Source organism: Homo sapiens, chromosome 17 (assembly GCF_000001405.40).
Source record: "Homo sapiens chromosome 17, GRCh38.p14 Primary Assembly".
Taxonomy (NCBI): domain Eukaryota; kingdom Metazoa; phylum Chordata; class Mammalia; order Primates; family Hominidae; genus Homo; species Homo sapiens.
Genome location: NC_000017.11, coordinates 77697632 through 77719407, shown reverse-complemented (window position 1 = coordinate 77719407; position 21776 = coordinate 77697632). Strand labels below are relative to the sequence as shown.

The 21776-nt window shown below is 43.9% G+C and overlaps 3 annotated features.

Moving 5' to 3' along the window:
* Nucleotides 97-597: an enhancer, noted in NCBI's record as "H3K4me1 hESC enhancer chr17:75714893-75715393 (GRCh37/hg19 assembly coordinates)". NCBI's record gives its function as "activates a minimal SCP1, AML or CMV promoter by ChIP-STARR-seq in naive and primed H9 embryonic stem cells {active_cell/tissue: H9 hESC(naive and primed)}" and the evidence as "EXISTENCE:reporter gene assay evidence [ECO:0000049][PMID:30033119]".
* Nucleotides 2379-2967: an enhancer, noted in NCBI's record as "OCT4-NANOG hESC enhancer chr17:75712523-75713111 (GRCh37/hg19 assembly coordinates)". NCBI's record gives its function as "activates a minimal SCP1, AML or CMV promoter by ChIP-STARR-seq in naive H9 embryonic stem cells {active_cell/tissue: H9 hESC(naive)}" and the evidence as "EXISTENCE:reporter gene assay evidence [ECO:0000049][PMID:30033119]".
* Nucleotides 19586-19755: an enhancer, noted in NCBI's record as "experimental_47447 CRE fragment used in MPRA reporter constructs". NCBI's record gives its function as "activates a minimal promoter by MPRAs in K562 erythroleukemia cells, with activity observed for both the introgressed and non-introgressed 17:75695820 variant alleles {active_cell/tissue: K562}" and the evidence as "EXISTENCE:reporter gene assay evidence [ECO:0000049][PMID:34662402]".

Here is a 21776-nt window from a genome sequence, read left to right as displayed (position 1 = left end):
CCTCCCCACCTCTGACCAAGATAGAGGGTGAATCCAGTAGTTTTCCCATGAAGAATTAACTGCTAGGAGAATGACCCTCCCGCCATAGCAATAAAAAAAAATATACATAAAATAATTGCTTCCAGACATTGAGTCACAGGTATCACAGGACCCTGATCTCTAAGGGAAAAGAAAAACATAGGGTGAGCCTCAAGATTCTCCCAGCTTATTTCCTGGAGGCAGATTCCAGGCCCCTGGGTAGGGAGGAGAACCCAACAGAGCTCAATAGTCCACTAAATGGAAGAAAAAGGGATTCCTGTTCAGGGAGACTGAGGCAGCAGGAATTTTCAGGGCAGGTCCAGAAGAGATGCAGCGGCATGTGTGCACGCACACACAAACTCACACACAGACACACACACGCATGCGCATGCACACACACAGACACACGCATATGCGTGCGCACACACACACAGACACACACATGCTTGCGCGCACCACACACAAACACATGTGTGCACGCACACACACACATGCATGCGTGTGTGCACACACAACCACACACATGCATACACACACATACACACACGCATGCAGGCATACACACATGCACACACACAAACACAGACACACATGCATGCGTGCACACACAGACACACATGCGTGCACACACAGACACACACGCATGCGTGCATACACACAGACACACACACGTGCACCCACAAACACACAGAGACACACACATGCATGCAAACACACACAAACACACACGGCCACACACGCATGTGTGCACACACACATACACACATGCATGTGCACACACAGACACACACATGCGTGCACACACACACACTGACACACTGTGCACACACACATGTGCACACACACATACAGAGACACACACATCCATGTGCACACACACAGACACACACATGCGTGAACACACAAACACATGCATGTGTGCACACAGACACACACACATGCACACACAAACACACACAGACACATGCATGCGTGCACACACACACAAACTCAGAGAGACAGAGATTGATTCAGAAATCTGCAGAGTGGTCCCCACAACTCAGTGGCAGAGTACTGACCTGTGAGAGAGAGTGTGTGTGTGTGTGTTTGTGTGTGCACCCACACGTGCATGTCGTAAAAATCCACAAAGCTGCGGAAAGAACAAAGAGGAAGAAGTACCCAAACATTTCATGGGCCTCACAAAAGGCTGGGACTTTGCTCATGTTCCCAGTAGGTAAAGTGAAGAAACTTCATAATGCCGGGGATTAAGTGGAGTCCACAGAAGAATGTTGCCTTTGTATCGGGGCTAATTTAGTGTTAGTCTAAAAGCCATTCTGGATCCCCCTGAACAAAGCTTAAAAATGAGCCTCAAAAGGACCAAACAATGAACTTAACTGCATGCTAGAACAAAATCCGAAAACATTTAAAGGGATGCAAGGAAAACTAGTGTTCAACAATGTAAAATTCACCATGTCTAACATTTTATTTAACAATTACCAGGCATGCTAAGAAATAGGAAAGTAAGAGGCACGACCAGGAAAAAAAAATCAATAAATAGAAATATATCTAAAAATTTTAGAATGATGGAATTAATAGACAAGGACCTCTCTCTCCACACACACACACACACACACACACACACACACACACACACACACACCACACACTATATACAGTGGTTCTCTTATCCATGGAGCATATGTTCCAAAGTCCCCAGTAGATGCCTGAAACTGCAAATAGTCCTGAACCTTATATATACCTGGTTTTTCTTATACATACATGCCTATAATACTGTTTAATGTATAAATTAGGCTCAGTAACAGATTAACAATAATAAATAATAGTAAAATAGAACATATAACAATAAGCTATAATAAAAGTTATGTGATCATGGTCTTTTTCTCTCTGTCTCTCAAAATATCTTATTGTGCTAAATTCACCTATTTTCAGACTGCAGTTAACCACAGGTAACTGAAACTGTGGAAAGCAAAATCATGGAGAGCAAAACACACACAGGAGAAAAATGAGAGCTATTAAAAAGACCCAAATAAAACTGCTAGAAATGGAAAACACACTGCAACACAATAAATTGGGTGTGATTGAAAACAGATTGCACATGAAGAAGAAAAATTAGAGCACCAGAAGACACAGCAATAGAAACTATCCAAAAAAGGAAGTTCGGCTGGGAGGCCAAGACAAGGTGGATCACGAGGTCAGGAGTTCAAGACCAGTCTGACCAACATAGTGCAACCCCATCTCTACTAAACACACACACACACACACACACACACACACACACACACAAATTAGCTGGGCGTGGTGGTGCATGCCTGTAATCCCAGCTACTCAGGAGGCTGATACAGGAGAATCGCTTGAACCTGGGAGGTGGAAGTTGCAGTGAGCCAAGATTTCACCACTGCACTCCAGCCTGGGAGACAAAGCAAGACTCCATCTCAAAAAAAAAAAAAAAAAAAGAGAGAAGCTCAGGAAGAAAAAAAGAATGCTGCTATGGCTTGACTGCACCTCCTCCAAAATTCAGGTGTTGCTAATGTGAGCAAGACAAGGGGCATTTAAGAGGTAATTAGGCTTCTTCCTTGTGAATGGGATTAAGGTGCTTATAAAAGAGGCTTCATGTGGTGTTCAATTAGCTTTCTTTTCTGGTTTTCTGCCATATGATGATGCAACATTCCTGCCTTCCAGAGAATGCAGCCCTTATCAAACACCAAATGCCGGTGACTTGATCTTGAACTTCCAGACCTCCAGAACAGGGATAAATAAATATCTGTCCTTTGTAAATTAGCCAGTTTGTGATATTCTGTTATAGCAGCCCAAATGGACTAAAACAAATGCTTAAAGGAAGGAAGAGTTTCAGTGACCTGTGGGAGAATATCAAGTAGTCTAACATCAGAATGTCAAAGACAAGAATGAAAATAAGAATATCAGAAGACTTCTTATTGGAAACCATGAGAGCCAGGAGAAAATGGACTGACATATTTAAAGTGCTGGAAGAAAAAAAAGTCACCTGGAATTATATAGCCAGCAGAAAATATCAAATAAGTTTCAAAAAAAGATGAAATACAGACCTTTTTAGACAAAGAAAAAAAATGAGAGAATTTATTGCTGGTAGGCATGCACCACAAGATCTGTTAAAGAAATTTCTTCAGCCAGAAAATTAATACTTGACTCTACACAAAGAAATAAAGAGCATCAGAAATGGTAAATATGTGGGAAGGTATAAAAGATATCTTTTAATTTAAAAAAATCTCATGAAAAGATAATTGACTAGAAAAGCAAAAATGATAATTATGCATTGAGAGGTATATGAAGAAAATACATGGCAACAATAGCACAAAAAATAGAAGGTAGGGGATGACAATAAACCGTTTTAAGGTCTTTACACCATACGTGAAATGCTATAACATTCTTTGGAAGTAGATCGTGATAAATTAAGATGTACATTGTAAACTATGGAGCAACCACTAAAAGGCAGGTCGCGGTGGCTCACGCCTGTAATCCCAGCACTTTGAGAGGCCGAGGCGGGCAGATCACGAGGTCAGGAGATTGAGACCATCCTGACTAACACCGTGAAACGCCGTCTCTACTAAAAAAATACAAAAAATTAGCCAGGTGTGGTGGCGGGCACCTGTAGTCCCAGCTATGTGGGAGGCTGAGGCAGGAGAACGGCATGAACCCGGGAGGCGGAGCTTGCAGTGAGCAGAGATGCACCACTGCGCTCCAGCCTGGGAGACAGAGCAAGACTCCGCCAAAAAAAAAAAAAAAAAAAAAACCACTAAAAAAAATAAGAACAAAAGCTTATAATACAATAGTAGTAGGATATAAAACAGAATTATAAAAATTGCTCTATAAATTCAAAAGAAAAGAAAAGAAAGAAAAAGGGCAAAAACCCCAGATGGAACAAAGAGAAAACAAATATTACTATGGTAGATCTGTATAAATTATTGCATTACATGTTAATATTCTAACATTACAGTTAAAATGCAAGTATTGTCAGATTGGATAAAATAGTAATATCCAAGTATTGACTATCTACATGAAGCCTACCAAAATAAGAAAGCTATAGAAAGGTTAAAAAGTAAAAGAATGGAAAAAGAAATATCATACACACACTAATCAAAAGAAAATTAGAGTGGCTATATCAGCATGTCAAAGTAGACTTCAGACCAAGACATACTACTAGGAATAAAGGGGAGAATTCCATAATTATAAAGAAGTAAATTCATCAAGAAAACAATGTAATCTTAAATATTTAAAGCAAAAACAAATAGAATAGAGAGAAGAAATATACAAATCTATAATTATAGCAGAGATTTCAATACTCTTCTCTCAATATGTGAAGGAACAAGTAGATAGAAAATAATTATGTATTGATTTAAACTACACTAGCAACCAACTTGACCTTATTGATATTTGTAAAACCAACAGCAACAGAATACATAGTCTTTTAAGTGCATATGTAATATTTACCAAGATTGATCATATTCTTGGCCATAATACAAACCTTAACAAATTTAATAGAACTGAAGTAATATGAAGTATGCTTTCTGATAACAAAATTAAATTTTAAAAAATCAATAACAAAAAGACATCTGGAAATCCCCAAAATTTGAAATTAAACAAAACTTAAATTAGATTTCTAGATTACATATATGTCACAAGAAAAATTAGAAAAAGCATTGAACTGCTAAATAAAGAAAATGCAATATATCAAAATTTGTGAGATGCAGCTGAAGAGTGCTTAATGATAAATTTACGCATTACATAATTATATTAGAAAAGAAGAAAAACCTAAGATCGATGACCTAAAATTTCACCTTAAAAAGCTACAGAAAGAGCAAATTAGACCCAAGGTAAGTAGAAGAAAGGCAATAGTAAGGGTAAGAGCAAAAATCAATGAAATAAAACTTAAACAAATAACAAAGAAATTACTAAAACCAAAAGCTGATTCCTAGAAAAGATCAATGAAATTGATTAACTTATAGCCAGATTAATTAAGAGAAGAAATGAGAGAAGCACAGGTTACTAGCATCAAGAATAAAAGAGGGGCATCACTACAGATCCTACAGACCTTTAAAGCTTAATTTAACAACTTGGATGAAATGTACTACTTCCTTAAGTGAAACAAGTTACCAAAGCTCACTTAAGAGCAATATGTAAATATAAAGATCTCTATATCTAGTAAAGAAAACACTGGACAAAATTCAAAACGATTTATGATTACAAAAAAAAAACCAATTCAGTTAACTAGGAATAGAAGAGAATTTCCTCAACTTGATAAAGGGCATCTACAAAAAATTTGCAGCTGACATCATACTTAATGGCATAAGGTTGAATGCTCCTCTCTATGATCAGGAACAAGGCAAGAATATCCACTTTTATCTTTTATTTAATATTTTGCTGGAAGTCATAGCCTGGGCAATAAGATAATTAAAAGATGTAAATGGCATATCAATTAGAAAGACAAAATGAAAATTTTATTTCACAAAAGATATGATTGTCTATGTAGACAATCCTAAGAAATGTACAAAAAAGGCTACTGGAACTAATAAGTGAGCAAGGTCACAGGATGCAATGTTAATATAAAAAATTGTATTTCTACATATTTGCAACAGAAAACTGGATATTTATATTAAGAAACAATACTGTTTATAAGAACTTCTAAAAGTAAAATACTTAGGTATAATTTAACAAAATATTACAATACCTATATATTGAAAACTACAAAACCTTCTGAGAAAAATTTTAAAGTACCTAAATAAATGAAGTAGACCATGTTAATGAATCCAAAGCAGCAATACTGTAAAACTCCACATCCTCCCCAAATTGATTTATATATACAATGTAATCACATCAAAATGTCAGCAAGCTTTTTTAAAAATAGAAACTGACAGGTTGATTCTAAAATTTATATGGAAATGATAAGCAGTTAGAACAGCCGAAATAATTTTGAAGAGAATAAAGTTGGAAAGCTTACACTATGTGGTTTTAAGACTTATTATAAAGCTACAGTAATGAAGACAGTGTGATATTGGCATAGAGATAGACATGTAGATCAATGTAACAGAGTCCACACATATATGGCCAATTGGTTTTTAATAACAGTACCAGTAATTCAGTAGGAGAAAGGATGGCCTTATCAACAAATGGTGCTGAAAAAATTAAATATTCACACGGGAAAATAAAAATCTCAATTTTTAAACATCATATACAAAATTAACTTAAAATGGATTATAGACAATAATATACATGCTGAAACTCTAAGATGTTCAGAAGAAAATATGGAAGATGTCAGGGAAATGTTTCTTAGAACAAAACAAGTAAACAAAAAGCCAGAAACTATAAAAAAGATTGTCAAATTGGATTTTATCAAATTAAAAACTTTTGCTCTTCAAAATAAACTGTTAAGAAAATGAAAAGGCAATGCTTAGATTAAAAGAAAAGGCTTGCATACATGTATTAGATAAAGAGATAAAGGACTTGTATCTAGAACTCAATTATATAAACAATTCAATTTTTTTAAATGGGTGAAAAATTTGGATTTTTTGAAAGGGTGAACTATTTGGAATGCTTCATCACAGAATATATATACATGGCAAATAAGCACTTGAAGACATGCATGATGTCATCAATAATTAATGAAATGCAAATTAAAACCACAATGAGAAATCATTACACTCCTGCTAGAATGGTTAGCATCAAAAAGGCTGGCAATGCCAAGTGTTGGTGAAGACAAGGAGCAACTGGAACTCTATACATAGTTGGTGGAAATCTGAAAAGGCATGGCCATTTTGGGAAACAGTTGGGCAGTTTCTAATATAGCTAAACTACACTTATATGACCCAGCAATCCCACCCCTAGGTATTTAGCCAAGAGAAATGAAACATAGATCCATACAAAGACTTGTATGTTGCATATTCATGGCAGCTTTATTCATAAAACCCGCAGACTGAAAACAACCATGTCTTAGTCCATTTTCTGTTGCTACAATTGAATACCTGAGACTAGGTAATTTATAAAACAAAAGAAATTTATTTCTTACAGTTGTGGAACCTGACAAGTCCAAGAATATGGCGCCAGCATCTGGTAAGGGCATTCTTGCTGTGGCATCATGTGGCACAGGGCATCATGTGATGAGAGGGCAAGAGGGTGCCAACTCCCATCTCTTTTCTTTTTTTTTTTTTTATAAAGCCACCAGTCTCATCATGAGGGCTCCACCCTGAGGACCTTACCTAATCCTGATGACCTCCCAAAGGCCCCACCTCCAAAAGCCATCAGCATATCAATTTGGGGATTAAGTTTCCAACACATGAAATTTGGGGACACATTCAAATCAGAGCAAACCCAAATGTCCATCAATGAATAAATATTTGGCATATCCATATAATGCTGTGCTACTCATCAATTAAAAGGAATGACCTACTGACACAGGCAATGACATGGTTGAATCTCCAAAGCATTGTGGGAGGTAAAAAAAGATAGATACAGAAGACTCCATATTACATGATTCCATTTATATAAAATTCCGGAAAAGGCAAAACTATAGTGAGAGAAAGCAGATCGGCGGGAGCCCAGATGGCAGAGGTCGGGGGATGAGGGAGAGAGAATTGAGTATATAAGGGCAGGAGAAAACTTTTCAAGGTAATGGGAATGTTCTATAGTATGATTATGATGGTGATTACACTACTGCTTACATTTGTCAAAACTCATCAAATGCACACTAAAATGGGCGAAATTTATTGTATGCAAATTCTGTTTCAACAAAGTTAACTAAAAAAGAAGAAAAATCAAAACCAATATTCCATCCTGAGGAAATGGGAGCAGAGGTGGTCATATGTCCCCTATATTAACAAAGAATGTCCATAACAAAGAACCAACCACAGAATAGGGGGCTTAAGCAACAGGAAATTTATGTTCCTAGAGTTCTAGGGGCTAGAAGTCCAAGATCAAGGTATTGGCAGAGTTGGTACCCTGTGAGGGCTGTCGTCCTGGCTTCGGACAGCCGTCTTTTCACTGTGTCCTCACGTGGCTTTTTATCTGTGGATGCTCAGGGAGACAGGGTGTCGAGGGCAGAGCAAAAGCACACGAGCAAGCTCTGGTGTCTCCTCCTCTTGTAAGGCCACAGTGCAATAGGATCAGAGCTCCACATTTACAGCCTCATTTCACCTTAATTCATTCTGTAAAGGCCCTATCTCCAAGTACAATCGCACTGAGGGTTAGGGCTTCAATATATAAATTTTGGAGGGACACATGCAGTCCATATGCCTCTGCCCCTTAATTCACCAGTCAGGCCCCTACAAAAGTGATCCTGGCTCCAGCGCTTCCGTGGGATCCACTGAGGTCTTTGTTGCGACCTCAGCAGAGTTCAGTTTCTCTCTCTGCCTGATGCTGATCCTTTGCCCCCATAGACGCGAATCCTCTCTGCACACAGAGCTCTGTCTCAGAATCTGCTTCTCAGAATACCCCACCTACGACAAGTGGATTTCCCAAACACTTAGCTAGTAACTAAAAATCAGTGTCCAGATCCTTCTGGAGAGCTCTGTCCTGTTTTTCAATACCAGGATGATATTCCCCCCAACACAAATATTCACCTTGAGCAGCTGGGCACTCTCCAGCCAGTGTGAGGAGCCCACCACACTTTTATACTTTTTGGAGACAGATTCCAATAAACAAACAACAGAGGAAAACCTACTGTGGCCTTCGGCTCAACCGCATTATTGAGGGAAGATAGCTAATGATCTGCAATGAGGCGATTTTTCATCAGGTCATTATCTGTTCATCACTGTGAGCTTTACTCTGTTGCCACCTTACTCATATGATTTCCAGTGGAGTTAACCCCTGTGTCCCTGAGAATCCATAGCAATAACAACCCAGACTCAACTGTACCTGAGAGAGAGGAAAAGGTGTCAGTTATTTTAGCGTGACTGGGACTCAGTGCTCAAGGGACAGCTGGATGCAAAGAGGGGGCAGAGATGGGAGAGGGCTAGGACTGGTCAGGGACTAGCCAGAGATGTGGCTTGTTAACTCAGTAGGGATAGAGCATGGGTTGATGGGAGGACCCAGGTTCGAATCCCACTTCTGCAGCTTGCTAACTGTGTAACCCTGGGCAAGTCCCCTAACCTCACTCTCTGTTGCCCCATCTGTAAAATGAGATCATAACATCTTATGATCAGGACTGTGGTGAGGATTAACATGGAAACCTGTTGATGATTGATTGATTCATTGAAACAGAGTCTTACTCTGTTGCTCAGGCTGAGTGCAGTGGCGCAATCATAGCTCACTGCAACCTGGAACTCCTGGGCTAAAGGGATCCTCCCGTCTCAGCCTCCTGAGTAGCTGGGACTACAGGATCATGCCACCAGGACTGAATGGCTAATTTTTGTATTTTTTTGTAGGGATGGAGTTCTCACCACATTGCCCAGACTGGTCTCAAATTCCTGAGCTCAAGTGATGCTTCCAACTTGGCCTCCCAAAGTGCTGGTATCACAGGCATGAGCCGCTGCACCTGGCTGAAACCTGTATTTAAAAGTAAATACAGTGTTGCTTCTCTGAGCTCTCCTCTCTCCTGCTGCTCCTTGGAATCCCTTGATGTGTGTACCGTTTCTTATGCTAAGCTAACAGTTTTAGGGCTGGCATGGATGGTATTGATCAACTTTCAGGCCCTTTCCTCAGTTAAGGACGCTGAAGTTCAGAGAAGGAGACATCCATTTCAGAGCACGTGGTGATGAGATGGCTCAGCAGACAGAAACCCCTGCTGGGGAGGGTCTCCTCGCTTCACAGTCAATGAGCCTATGACTTATACCCAGCCCCCACCCAGACTCCAAGCTTTGAATAATGTTGATAAATTATTTATTAGCAATTAGTTATGCATTTTTATATCAGAGTTATCCTAAGAAAATGGAGTCTGATTGTGTTGCTCCCGACTGACATCCTTCACCAGCTCCGCACCTGCGCAGGGTAAACTAATTGCAGCCTGGATGGCAGGACCCTTCCCTCGGGTGCTCTGTGTCCCCTCCCTCCTCATCTCCCACAGGGCCCTGACATTCGTCAGACAAAATGAGATCCAACCAACGTGCTGCGTTTTCTTCACATTTTCCTGCCTTGGCCGAGAGTGGCTCCTCTTCCAGGAAAGCTCTTCTGCCTCTGAAGCTGGAGGAACCCTAGGCCACTTTTCCAAACTCCACCTGCTCCCCGGTCATCAGCTTCAGCTCCATTTTCCCAACACCAGTTCATCACTTCTTCCTCTCTGGATGGGAAGCAGTGTGGGATCACGGCGGCTGCTGTCCACACTCCTGTGTCCCCTGCCCCTCATCCCCCTGAGCTCCTTGAAGGCATGGATCATGCTGGGGACTCATCCACACACCCGGGACAGAACTTGGATGGTAGCAAGTCCCAGGACAGAGTGGATGTCACTGGCACTTGAGTCATCAGAGGACAACTGCACCCGGACAAAGCAAAGCAAACAGACAGCTTATTCTATGTGTGCAGACATATCAAAGGTAATTTTTGGTTTAAAAAAAATACCAGCTGGGCACAGTGGCTCACACCTGTAATCCCAGCACTTGGAGAGGCGGAGGCGGGCAGATCACCTGAGGTCAGGAGTTCGAGACCAGCCTGGCCAACATGGTGAAACCCCATCTCTACTAAAAATACAAAAATTAGCCGGGCATGGTGGCGGGTGCCTGTAATCCCAGCTACTCAGGAGGCTGAGGCAGGAGAATCACGTGAACCTGGGAGGTGGAGGTTGCAGTGAGCTGAGATTGCACCACTGCACTCCAGCCTGAGTGATAGAACAAGACTCTGTCTGAAAAACAAGAAAGAAACAAACAAAAAACCCTTAATATTATATACATGCTGTTGTGGACTAAATTGTGTTCTTCCTAAAATTCATATGTTGAAACCCTAACCCTCAGTACCTCCGGAGTGTGGCTGCATTTGAAAGCAGGGTCTTTAGAGAGGTAATTAAGTTAAAACAAGGTCATTAGGGTGGCCCTTAATCCAAGATGACAGATGTCCTTATAAGGAGAGGAGATCTGGGCAGACACACACAGAGGGAAGATAATGTGAAGACATGGAGAAATCAGATGTCTACAAGCCAAGGAAAGGGGCCTCGGAAGAAACCAACCCTGCTGATGCCTAGATCTTGGACTTCAGCCTCCAGAGCTGTGAGCAAATTCATTTGTTTTCTGAGCCACTCTGACTGTGGTATGTGATTGTGACAGGAAAGGGAAACTTATACCAGTGCCTATTTATAACTGATATGCCCACCACCACCTCTGCACACCCCTGGGCGTCTCAGGTCAGAAACCTGTGTGTTGCACTTGCTCCCGGCATCCTCCACTTACGCTGGGGCCACAGACACCATCCTGGAAGCTCACGGTTAGGCTTCCTTCTGTCTCTATGATGTTAAATGAACATCCGCAGTGCTCCCTGATCCACAGGATCTTTGCTGCACCAGGAAAGGGCTAAGCAGGAATGGGTTTTGAAAGTTCCTATTATTTTGAATTCTCCCAACTCAAAATTTGCCATTCTGCAAAGCCTGCAGAGAGTTCCTGTCAGAGCTAACACAAGGGCCCCCTCACTCCAGAGCCAACCACCCTCTTCCTCCCCTCCCATCAGGGCCGGGTGAGGGCCAGTTTCCCGGCCCCTCCTCTGTGCTTGCCCACTTGCCATCCTTAGCCTTGTCAGAGCCCACTTGGGCCAGCCTGGATACAGATGTCCAGCCTGTGGCAGTTGCCTCTCCCCGACTCCACCTGCCCCTCACCTCTGGGCTGGAGGAAATGTACTTAACATCCCTCAGCTCTTCCTATTACCCAAAGTGTATTAGTCCGTTTTCACACTGCTGAAAAAGACACACCCGAGACTGGGCAATTTACAAAAGAAAAAGGTTTATTGGACCTACAGTTCCACATGGCTAGGGAGGCCTCACAATCGTGATGGAAGGCAAGGAGGAGCAAGTCACATCTTATGTGGATGGCAGCAGGCAAAAAGAGCGTGTGCAGGGAAACTCCCATTTGTAAAACCATCGGTTCTTGCAAGACTCATTCACTATCACGAGAACAGTGCAGGAAAGACTCCCCCTCTCCTTAATTCAATCACCTCCCACTGGGATCCTCCCATGACACGTGGGAATTGTGAGAATTACAATTCAAGATGAGATTTGGGTGGGGACATAACCAAGCCATATCACAAAGATTCCTGGAAGACCCCACTCCAAAGTAGCAGAAGTCACATGGGACATCCTGTTTCTCTCTTGGGCCCCGGAATTGATACAGCCTGGTGTTAGCTTCTGTATGCATGGTGCAGGCGATGCAGGCACCCAGGCTGTGGTGCTGAGACGAACTGCCGGGAAAGGCGTCCACCCTGCAAGAAGAATCACAGCCATCCTTTGGTAGGCACTTCATATGTACCACCCATTGTCCTTCTTAGAAGCCTCACAAATGACCCTATCTGTTAGGAACACTGACTATACCCATTTTACAGATGAGGACATGAAGCACAGAGGAGTTAAGTCATTTGCCCAAAGTCACACAGCTAGTAAACCAATGGACGGGGACTCCAGGGAGTTTGCTTGCAGAGTCTGTGGTTGTAGTGGCCCATTCTCTTGCTGATCTAAGGACATACCTGAGACTGGGTAATTTATGAAGGAAAGAAGTTTAATTGACTCACAGTTCAGCATGGCGGGAGAGGCCTCAGGAAACTTACAATCATGGTGGAAGAGAAGAAGAACAAGGGCTGAGTGAAGGGGGAAACCCCATATATAACCATCACATCTTGCAAGAACTCACTATCATGAGAACAGGAAGAGGGAAACTGCCCCCATGAGTCAATTATCTCCACCTGGTTCCTCCACGACACATAGGGATTATGGCAACTATAATTCAAGATGAGATTTGGGTGGGGACACAGCCAACCCAAAGCAGTGGTCTTAACCATATTGGTCCTGATTGTCTGTTCAGTGTCTTCCCCCAGGGGCCACAATTCACTATTAAGATTTTTCTTTGAATTTGTGTTTTCTCAGGCAACAAAAACTATTACTGACACAGCACATTAGCCCTGATCCATGCAAAAGGGAGGGTTCATGAATTAGGAATCCAGATCCCAAAGGGAATTTGCAACTAAGGACAGAGCAAGCATGATGGGTTGGGGAGGGGACAGTTGGGTGCCCTCTCCTCAAATAAAGTCACCAATTCATGGTTTTCCCTGCTGTTGTCTGGGTATTTTATTTTCCCTTTACAATTACTTGTCTGGGCTGCAAGAGAGATCAAACATGAAGAAATAAAATCTTGCGACAGTTTGCTGAAACTACCACAAGGACAAAAACCCAAATACCGCATGTTCTCACTCATAGGTGGGAATTGAACAATGAGAACACATGGACACAGGAAGGGGAACATCACACTCTGGGGACTGTTGTGGGGTGGGGGGCGGGGGGAGGGATAGCATTAGGAGATATACCTAATGCTAAATGACGAGTTAATGGGTACAGCACACCAACATGGCACATGTATACATATGTAACAAACCTGCACGTTGTGCACATGTACCCTAAAACTTAAAGTATAATAATAATAAAATTAAAAAAAATCTTAATCCAATAATCTACCTAACTGGAGATTACCATTATTAAAATCCTGCCATATTGTTTTCAGTCTTTTTTTTTTTTTTTTGCATGTTGAATTTTCTATTTCATTTGTTTGACGACATGAATAAAAATTAATTGATTACTAAAAATGCTTTTTACTCTGGAGAGGTACAGATAAAGAAAGCAAACAAAAGGACCAAAATTGTGCTACCCAATAACCCTGCTAACATTTGAAGTATGAATAAAAGTCACACACACATAAAGTTAGAAAACAGACCACAAAAGGGGGCCACTGTGAAAGTCACCTTCCCATCAACCTAGCTCTTTCCCCCAAATTAACTTAACAGTTTCTGTGATTCTTTCCAGAAAAAAAAAATGCATCCACCTGCATTTGTGGATCTACTTATATAAACTCTTTCTTCTTTGCATCCCTTCCAGGCATTTTCTATGCACATATTTTTCACACGGCTGAGATGATGCTGCAAGTGCAGCTGTATCTTGCCCTTTTCACCTGACACTCTGTGATAAGCCTTCTGAGATTGCTTTGTAGCAGGAGCCTCCAGGGCCCTACCCTCAAGAGGCAGCTCTCTGGGCAAGCATGCCTGGTTCTCTGGCAAAAGACTACCAGGAGGAGGAAGGTTTCAATGCCAGCCTTCCAGCAGATGGAAGGGAATAGCGCATGGCTGCTGTTTGTGCATGCTTATTTTCAGATCAATCCAGCCAACATTTCTTAAGCACCTACTGTGTATGTCATCGCACAGAGACAATTTGCCTGGCTTATTTCTGCAGCATCTTTCTCTAGGAAGGTGGAAGTAATATTGTGAATAGCCTTGAGAGCATTCACATGTTAGAGTGGAACAGCCAGGAAACAGCTGTTCCAAAGGACTGCAGAGTTAATCCGAACACCTCCGCCTCCAGTAGTGGCTTCAGAGTCTGAAACCATTTTTCTCTTCGCTTCTGTGCAATGCAGCCACTGACAGCAGCAAATATGTCCCTGACAGTAGTGGGAAGAGGCTGGTAGTCGAGTGATGGTTTCAAGCAGTTTGGGGCCAGGTGGGGAAATGGCACAGAGGACAGGGAGGCAGTGGAAGGCCCCCCTGCAGCTGTTGGGAGCCCCAGGCCAGGTCAGCAGGCACAGCATTTGTCAAGGCAGCCCATGACATTGAGGTTGGGCTGCAGAACCGGGTTCCTGGACCTGAAACCAGAGATATATCCCCAGTGCTGTGGGTCTCCACATGGCCAGTCTGGACATGGGGCTTCAGCAAAGCTAGAGTGAACATCTCATGGCTCATCAGAGCCTACAGATGTGGGTAGCAGAGCACAGCAGCTGCACACAGGCTCAGGTCAGTTAGATCTGGAATTTCTCTTCCTGGAACAGGGGCTTGGCAAGGATGCATAACCACCATGGGTCTCAGCATCCTCATCTGTGAAATGAGCACAGCAATACCCTCTTCCTTGGTAGGTTAAAGTACACACACAGTCAACAAATGGTGACCAATACTATAGTATACAGCATTGTTCGGCCTCTCAGCAGATTGTATTAGTTTCCTGGGACTCCCATAGCAGTACTCCCATTGTGCGTATGTTATACCTTTTATAGTTGTTCCACAGTTCTTGGATATTCTATTGTGTTTTCCTGAGTCTTTGTTCTCTTTCTTTTTTAGTTCTGGAGGTTTCTATTGATATAGCCTCCAGTTCAGAGATTCTTTGTTCAGCCCTATCCAAGCTAACTGATAAGCCCAACAAAGTCAGTCTTCATTTTTGTTAGTGCTGTTGTTTGCCTGCATTTCCTTTTTGGTTTTTCTCAGGGTTTCTGTCTCTGGTTACATTGCCCACCTATTCTTGCATGCTGACTACTTTATCCATTAGAACCCTTAGCATTAACCCACCCCTTAATTTGCATGTAATTGAAAGTGGGTTTACATGAGTATAAATAGAGTTGCCAACAGCCCATACGTTGCTGACTCTAGGTGCACTGCCTATGAGTTAGCCCTGTTCTGCAAGGAGCAGCTCTGTTTCAATAAAAGATTGCTGTCTAACACTGCTGGCTTCCCCTTGAATTATTTCCTGGATGAAGCCAAGGACCCTCCTGGGCTAAGCCCCAATTTTGGGGTGTGCCTCTCCTACATCAGAACTACCATATGATCCAGCAATTCCACTTCTAGGTATACACTCTAAAGAACTGAAAGCAGGGTTTTGAAGAGGTATTTGTACACCCATGTTTCTAGAAGCATTATTCACAATAGTTAAGAGGTGGAAACAACCAAAGTGTCCATCAACAGATGAACGGATAAGCAAAATATGGTGTATACATTACAGTCGATTATGATTCAGCCTTAAAAAAGGAAAGCCTGACACATGCTAAAACACAGATGAACCTTGAGGACATGATGCTGAGTGAAATAAGCCAGGCACAAAAGGACGACTATTGTAAGAGTCCACTGATATGAGGTACCTATAGCAGTCAGACTCATAGAAACAAAGTAGAATAGTGGTCACCAGGGCCTGGGAGAGGGGAATGGGAAGTCAGTGTTTAATGAGGATAGAGTTCCAGTTTCATAAGATGAAAGTGGTATAGAGATGGATGGTGGTGATGGTTATACAACATTATGAATATATTTAATGCTACTGAACTGTACAATTAAAAATAACTAAGATGTTAAATTTTATGTTACATATATTTTACCCCAGTAAAAAAAAAAATAGATAAGATGAAAAAGTGAAAGAGAAAAAAAAACATTCTCAGAATTGAGGGAATTTGTTGCCAGTAGACTTGGCTGGCAAAAAATGTTAAAAAGAAAATTTCTTTAGAGAAAACAATATAGGTAAGAAACTCAGATCTGCATAAAGAAAGGAAGTGCATTAAAGAAAGGAAAAGTGAAGGTAAAATAAAAACTTTTATTTTTCTTATTCTTGATTGACCTGACAGACAGCAGTTGGTTCAACATAATAATAGCAATGATGTATTCAGTTACATAAGCTTATGTAGTGTCTTATATATATATTGTGCTTATGTATGCTGATCTATAAGTGAACTGAATTGCAGCAATTGTAATGGAATCCAGGTTTGACTGTTTGCTGCCTGAAAGCCAGCCACTAGAGACAAGGGTTGGTAGGAAGAAAAGCAGGTTTATTTGGAAAGTCAGTCAAACCAAGAGGATGGCAAACTAGCATTCTAAAGTACCATTTTCAGTTTTTCAGGCTGGCCAGAGGGTTTTTATGGGTGAGGGGATATGGGGAGGCTACGTGCAGTGGTTGGGATCAAGAGGTGACCGAGGACCACAAACATTTGGGTGCCAGTGAGGGGTCGAGGAGGTTGGGAACTTTTCTGTCCTTGGTTAGGTCACAATGCTTCTGTAAATCTCCAACAAAACAGACTTAGTTGTTTACAAACTTCCCCTTTGATATGGTTTGGCTGTGTCCCCACCCAAATCTCATCTTGAATACTAGTTCCCATAATCCCCACGTGTGGTGGGAGGGGCTTGGTGGGAGGTAACTGAATCATGGGGGTGGTTTCCACATGCTGTTCTTGTGACAGTGAGTGAGTTCTCATGAGATCTGAAGGTTTTATAAGGGGCTGTTCCCGCTTTTGCTCAGCCCTTCTCCTTCCTGCCATCATGTGAGGAAGGACGTGTTTGCTTCCCCTTCTGCAGTGATTGTAAGTCTCCTGAGGCCTCCCCAGCCATGCAGAACTGTGAGTCATTTAAACTTCTTTCCTTTGTAAATTACCCAGTCTCGGGCAGTTCTTTATACTAATGTGAGAACGGACTAATACACCCTTTACTCCCAGAGTTAGTTTCAAAAACTACATGATTGCTGTTTCGCATTTCATCCCAGTTCTCTAAAATTATCCTAGCCTACGTGCAGGAAGGGGTAAAAGCCCCTTAAAGAAAAATGAAGTGAGTGACGTTAGTTTCTTGCTGTTTCACTGTTACACAATGATACGAGGTATGAAAGGGAGGAATGAGGATGGTTTTGTTATGTTAAGGTGCTCACACTACCTGTGAAGTGTTACAGTGTTATTTGAAAGAGACACAGAGAGAAGATGCCATCCACATGCCAAGGAGGGAGACCTGGAGCAGCTCCTCCCTCACAGCCCTCAAGAGGAACCTGCCCTGCAGACACCTTGATTTCCGACGTGGCCTCCAGCCCTGGGTGAGAATACATTTCTGTTGCTTTCAGCCACCCAGTTTGTGATGCTTTGTTACAGCAGCCCTAACAAACGAATGCTCGTATTTATGTATCTATCGAACTTTTTATTTGGAAATAATTTTAGATTAATAGAAGAGTTGCAAAGATATTCCAGAATGTTGCCTTCACTGTGTTCCCCTGGCTTTCCCTGTTATCTCACACAGCCACCACACACTTAGCAAAACTGAGGAATTATCACTGGCGCAATCCCATTCGCTAAACTTTTATTAGAATTTCCCCAGTTTCTCCACTAATGTTGGCTTCTGAATTTAATTTGAAGGTCCAGCCACAAGGATTTCCTGGCCAATCAGGAAGGCGAGGAGTGAAAGATGACCCCAAGCTCTTTGTCTTGGCACTGCAAGGGTGGAGGTGCTATTAGCCAAGAAGGGAACAGATTAGGAGATGAAGAAGAGGCATTTAGTTTTGACTTTATATTTGAGATTCCATCCATGTGGACATGTTGAGCAGGTAATTGGATGTCAGAGTCTAGGGTTTGAGAGAAAGAGGTCTAGGTTGAAATAAAAATGCAACTTAAGTGGCCACCCCCCTGACCCCGGACCCAGGCTTAGAGAAAGGGGAGTTTTAGGAAAAAACTTCACTCTGTCCTAAAACCATAGAGAAAAGAAGGCAACGATTGCCAGCCAGCCAGCCATCCCTGGAGACTTCTTACAGATCTTTTCCCAGCAGAAGTGGCTAAGTGCCTGAAGGGAGGATGACCACAGCCACGTGAGGCAGAGGACAGATGGATGAGGAAGACAGAAGGTATCAATCAGCAAAGCCACCATGGCATATGCTGGCCTGTGTACCCACAGATCCAGGTGCATGCAAAACCATGCCTGCTGTGCACGCCCCTGCACGAGCTCCCTCTTGTTCCTGACCTCCCCTGCCTGGTAGGCAAGGATAAGTCCTCTGACAGGCCCGGCCTCCCTGCCTCCCCAGCCCCAGCCGTCCCCAGCTCCGGGTCATGCCTGCACCCCCGCTGTTGTGCAGCCTGGGTTTCTTTCCATCCCTTCTCCTGGGTGCCCACATGCTTCTTCTGTACAGCAGCCTCTTCTCATTCACCTCCAGGTCCTGAGACCAGCCCAGTGCCTGCCCGGCCCCTCACAGACACTCTGTAAATATTTGTGGGAATCAGCACAAGTGATTTTCTGGAAGCCACTAACCAGGAGTGAGCAGAGCCAGGCAAAGAAGCGTGGACACCCTCAGAGGCTCTGTCTGACAGTGCAAGGGGCTGATATTTATCAGGAAATGTGACAGATGTGCTGTGTGAACCAGGAAGACCTGTCAGTGCCCTCGGCCGTAATTAGCCGCTACTTCACTCTCCCAGGGAGGCCACTGAGGACTCTGGGCTCTGCCTTTGCAGTGGGATGTCCGTCCACCCCTGCTCTTCTCCCAGGAGGAGCAGCTGCCCGTGACCTTGGACTTCAGCAGGAGAAGATGATCCTCTGGAATGTGATTATCTTCATCTTGAAGAGTACTAATTATGGTTGCTTTCCTTTTTTTTTTTTTTTTTTTGAGACAAAGTCTTGCTCTGTCGCCCAGGCTGGAGTGCAGTGGTGCCATATCAGCTCACTGCAGCCTCCGCTTCCCAGGTTCAAGCAATTATCATGCCTCAGCCTCCTGAGTAGCTGGGATTACAGGTACATGCCACTACACCCAGCTAATTTTTGTATTTTTAGTAGAGTCGGGGTTTCACCATGTTGGTCAGTCTGGTCTTGAACTCCTGACCTCAAGTGATTTGCCCGCCTCGGCCTCCCAAAGTGCTGGGATTACAGGCGTGAGCCACTGTGCCCGGCCAATTATTGTCACTTTTCAAACCCAGGGACACTCAGCTCTGGGGAAGGCACAGCCCCTTGCATGTCCTGGGAGTTTCCTGTGACCTGGTAGGATGAGGAACAGTTTCTTGGGGCTGAAGTGGGGATGCTATGCCCTCATTAAGGATGCTCTGTACAGTGAGACCCGTGTTTTCCCTGGTGGCAGTGACAGCCACCTGAGCTCTGCACATTCCCTAGGGCCAGGTCACTAAGGTCGTGTGTGGCCACTCTAGACTGGCCATGCTGCGGCTCCTCACCCAACACATGCACATGCATGTGTGCACACACCTACTCCCATTCCATAAGCTCGGTGCAGCAGATGTGGCCACTTCAATTACACAGCAGTGCAGTGGGCTCTGTGGCTCAGTATCCCCCGGGGAGCAGGAGGCCCCGCGGTTTGCAGTGAGGTGTGGAGAATGGAGCGGGCTCGGTGGTGTTAATGACAGCAGCCAGCACTCCCCGAGCAGCACTCGCGAACTGATCGCTCTTTAATTATCTGGAATTAAAGCGCCGTCTTCACGCTCTTTATGTTATGGCGGAGGAAATCCGGGCGTCCATTAATTACCTGATCCATATGTAAAGTGTCACACATAATTTTTCCAGAGCCAAAGGGTTCTTGCTCCAAGACCTGCATCATCTCTTAATAATGACGTGGAGTGAAATGAGAGAGGACCCAGCCTCCAGAAGAGGACCTCAGAGCCTGGATCCTGCCAAGGCCAGGGTGGCGGCCGAGCTGAGGGCTTCACCTAGGGTGCCTGGGCACCAGCCCTGATGGGCTGAGGTTCCCCTGCAGCAGAGAGAGAACAAAGGCTTCAGAGACAGAATTAAGAGTTTGATAAACTCCTTCTATCAGAGTCCATTAAATAGAGAAGTGAATGAATATTAAAAGCAAAGTTTAAGCCACAGCACAAAGGATCTAGGTTAGATGGGAAGAAGGATTTTCCAGTAGGAGGAGAGAGTTGCAGACATGCTCAATGTTCCATGTTCCACAAGCAGGAGATCTCATGGCTGCTTCATGGTCCAGGGAGCAGTTCGCATTTGGAGGGAATGGCTGTGCCAGGGACCAGGCCATTACCAAGAGAGCAGCCAAAATACCAAATACTACTGAGGTCACAACCTCACTAGCAGCCTTAGGAGCATGCCCTGGGCACACAGAGGAGGAGAGGGACAGAGAGACGGGATCAGAGAGATGCGAGTGCTTATTTCTGGCTGAACCATCAGTTTTGCCAACTGAAAAAATCTTGACAGTTGACCAGGTCCTCAACAACCCAGCCATTTCCCAGCCAGTGCTTGATGGCTTTGAACCTGAGCCTTGGAGAGGTTATTAGTGATGTAGGAAAAAGCAAAGGCAGGCATCCCCTGTGGTTAAAGACCCCTCCCCCTGACTCCCCCAGCCAGGCTTCCTTCCAGGTTGACAGAGGGGGCTGCTCTTGTGGGTGATGGAGGCAGTGACAGGATGGAGTGAGAAGACCCCTCTGTATCCCCCAGAGCCCTCTCTCTCACACACACACCTCATCCCACCCTCAGTCAGCCCACGGTGGGTCCTCTCCTTGCCCTCAATTTACAGAAGGCGAGACTGAGGCCCAGGGCCAAGCCTCAAGTGGGTGGCAGAGATGGCCCAGGTGTCCTAACTGTGGCTGAGGCTGTCACCCACCAAAAGCATGGGGTGTCCCTCACGCAGGGTGATCTGCGTCACCCCATGCACCCATGCTGCCTGTGTCTGGGTCTCCTGGAGCTTTCAGCCAGTGAATGCCCCACAGCTGGCACCCAGCTGCTTGGGCTGGGTCCACACGGCCTCCTCCTGCCCCCTAACTGTGGGCCTCTGAGTCTCTGCTGCCTCCTGAGATCAGCCAGAGAGCAAGGTTTCTGGGCACCGGGCTCCGGGAGCTCACACCCTCTCCTTCCTGCGTGGCCTCATCCTCTCCAGTTTGACTCCTGTTTTACCTTCCTCTTCTAGTTTATCAGATCTCAGACGTGAGTCCACCTGTGGCTGGAGCCGCTCCCCTTTCTGCGGGAACACACCCCGATGGCTGACCACCCCAGGGCAGGAAGTGTGGGGCCCTCCTGGGCCACCTGGGTGTCCACCTGGCATCCCTGCTGCCAGGACAAAGCCGGCTCCTGCTGCCCACCCCACCTCCCACTCCTGCCTGGCTCTGAAGCTCTACTGGGTGCCC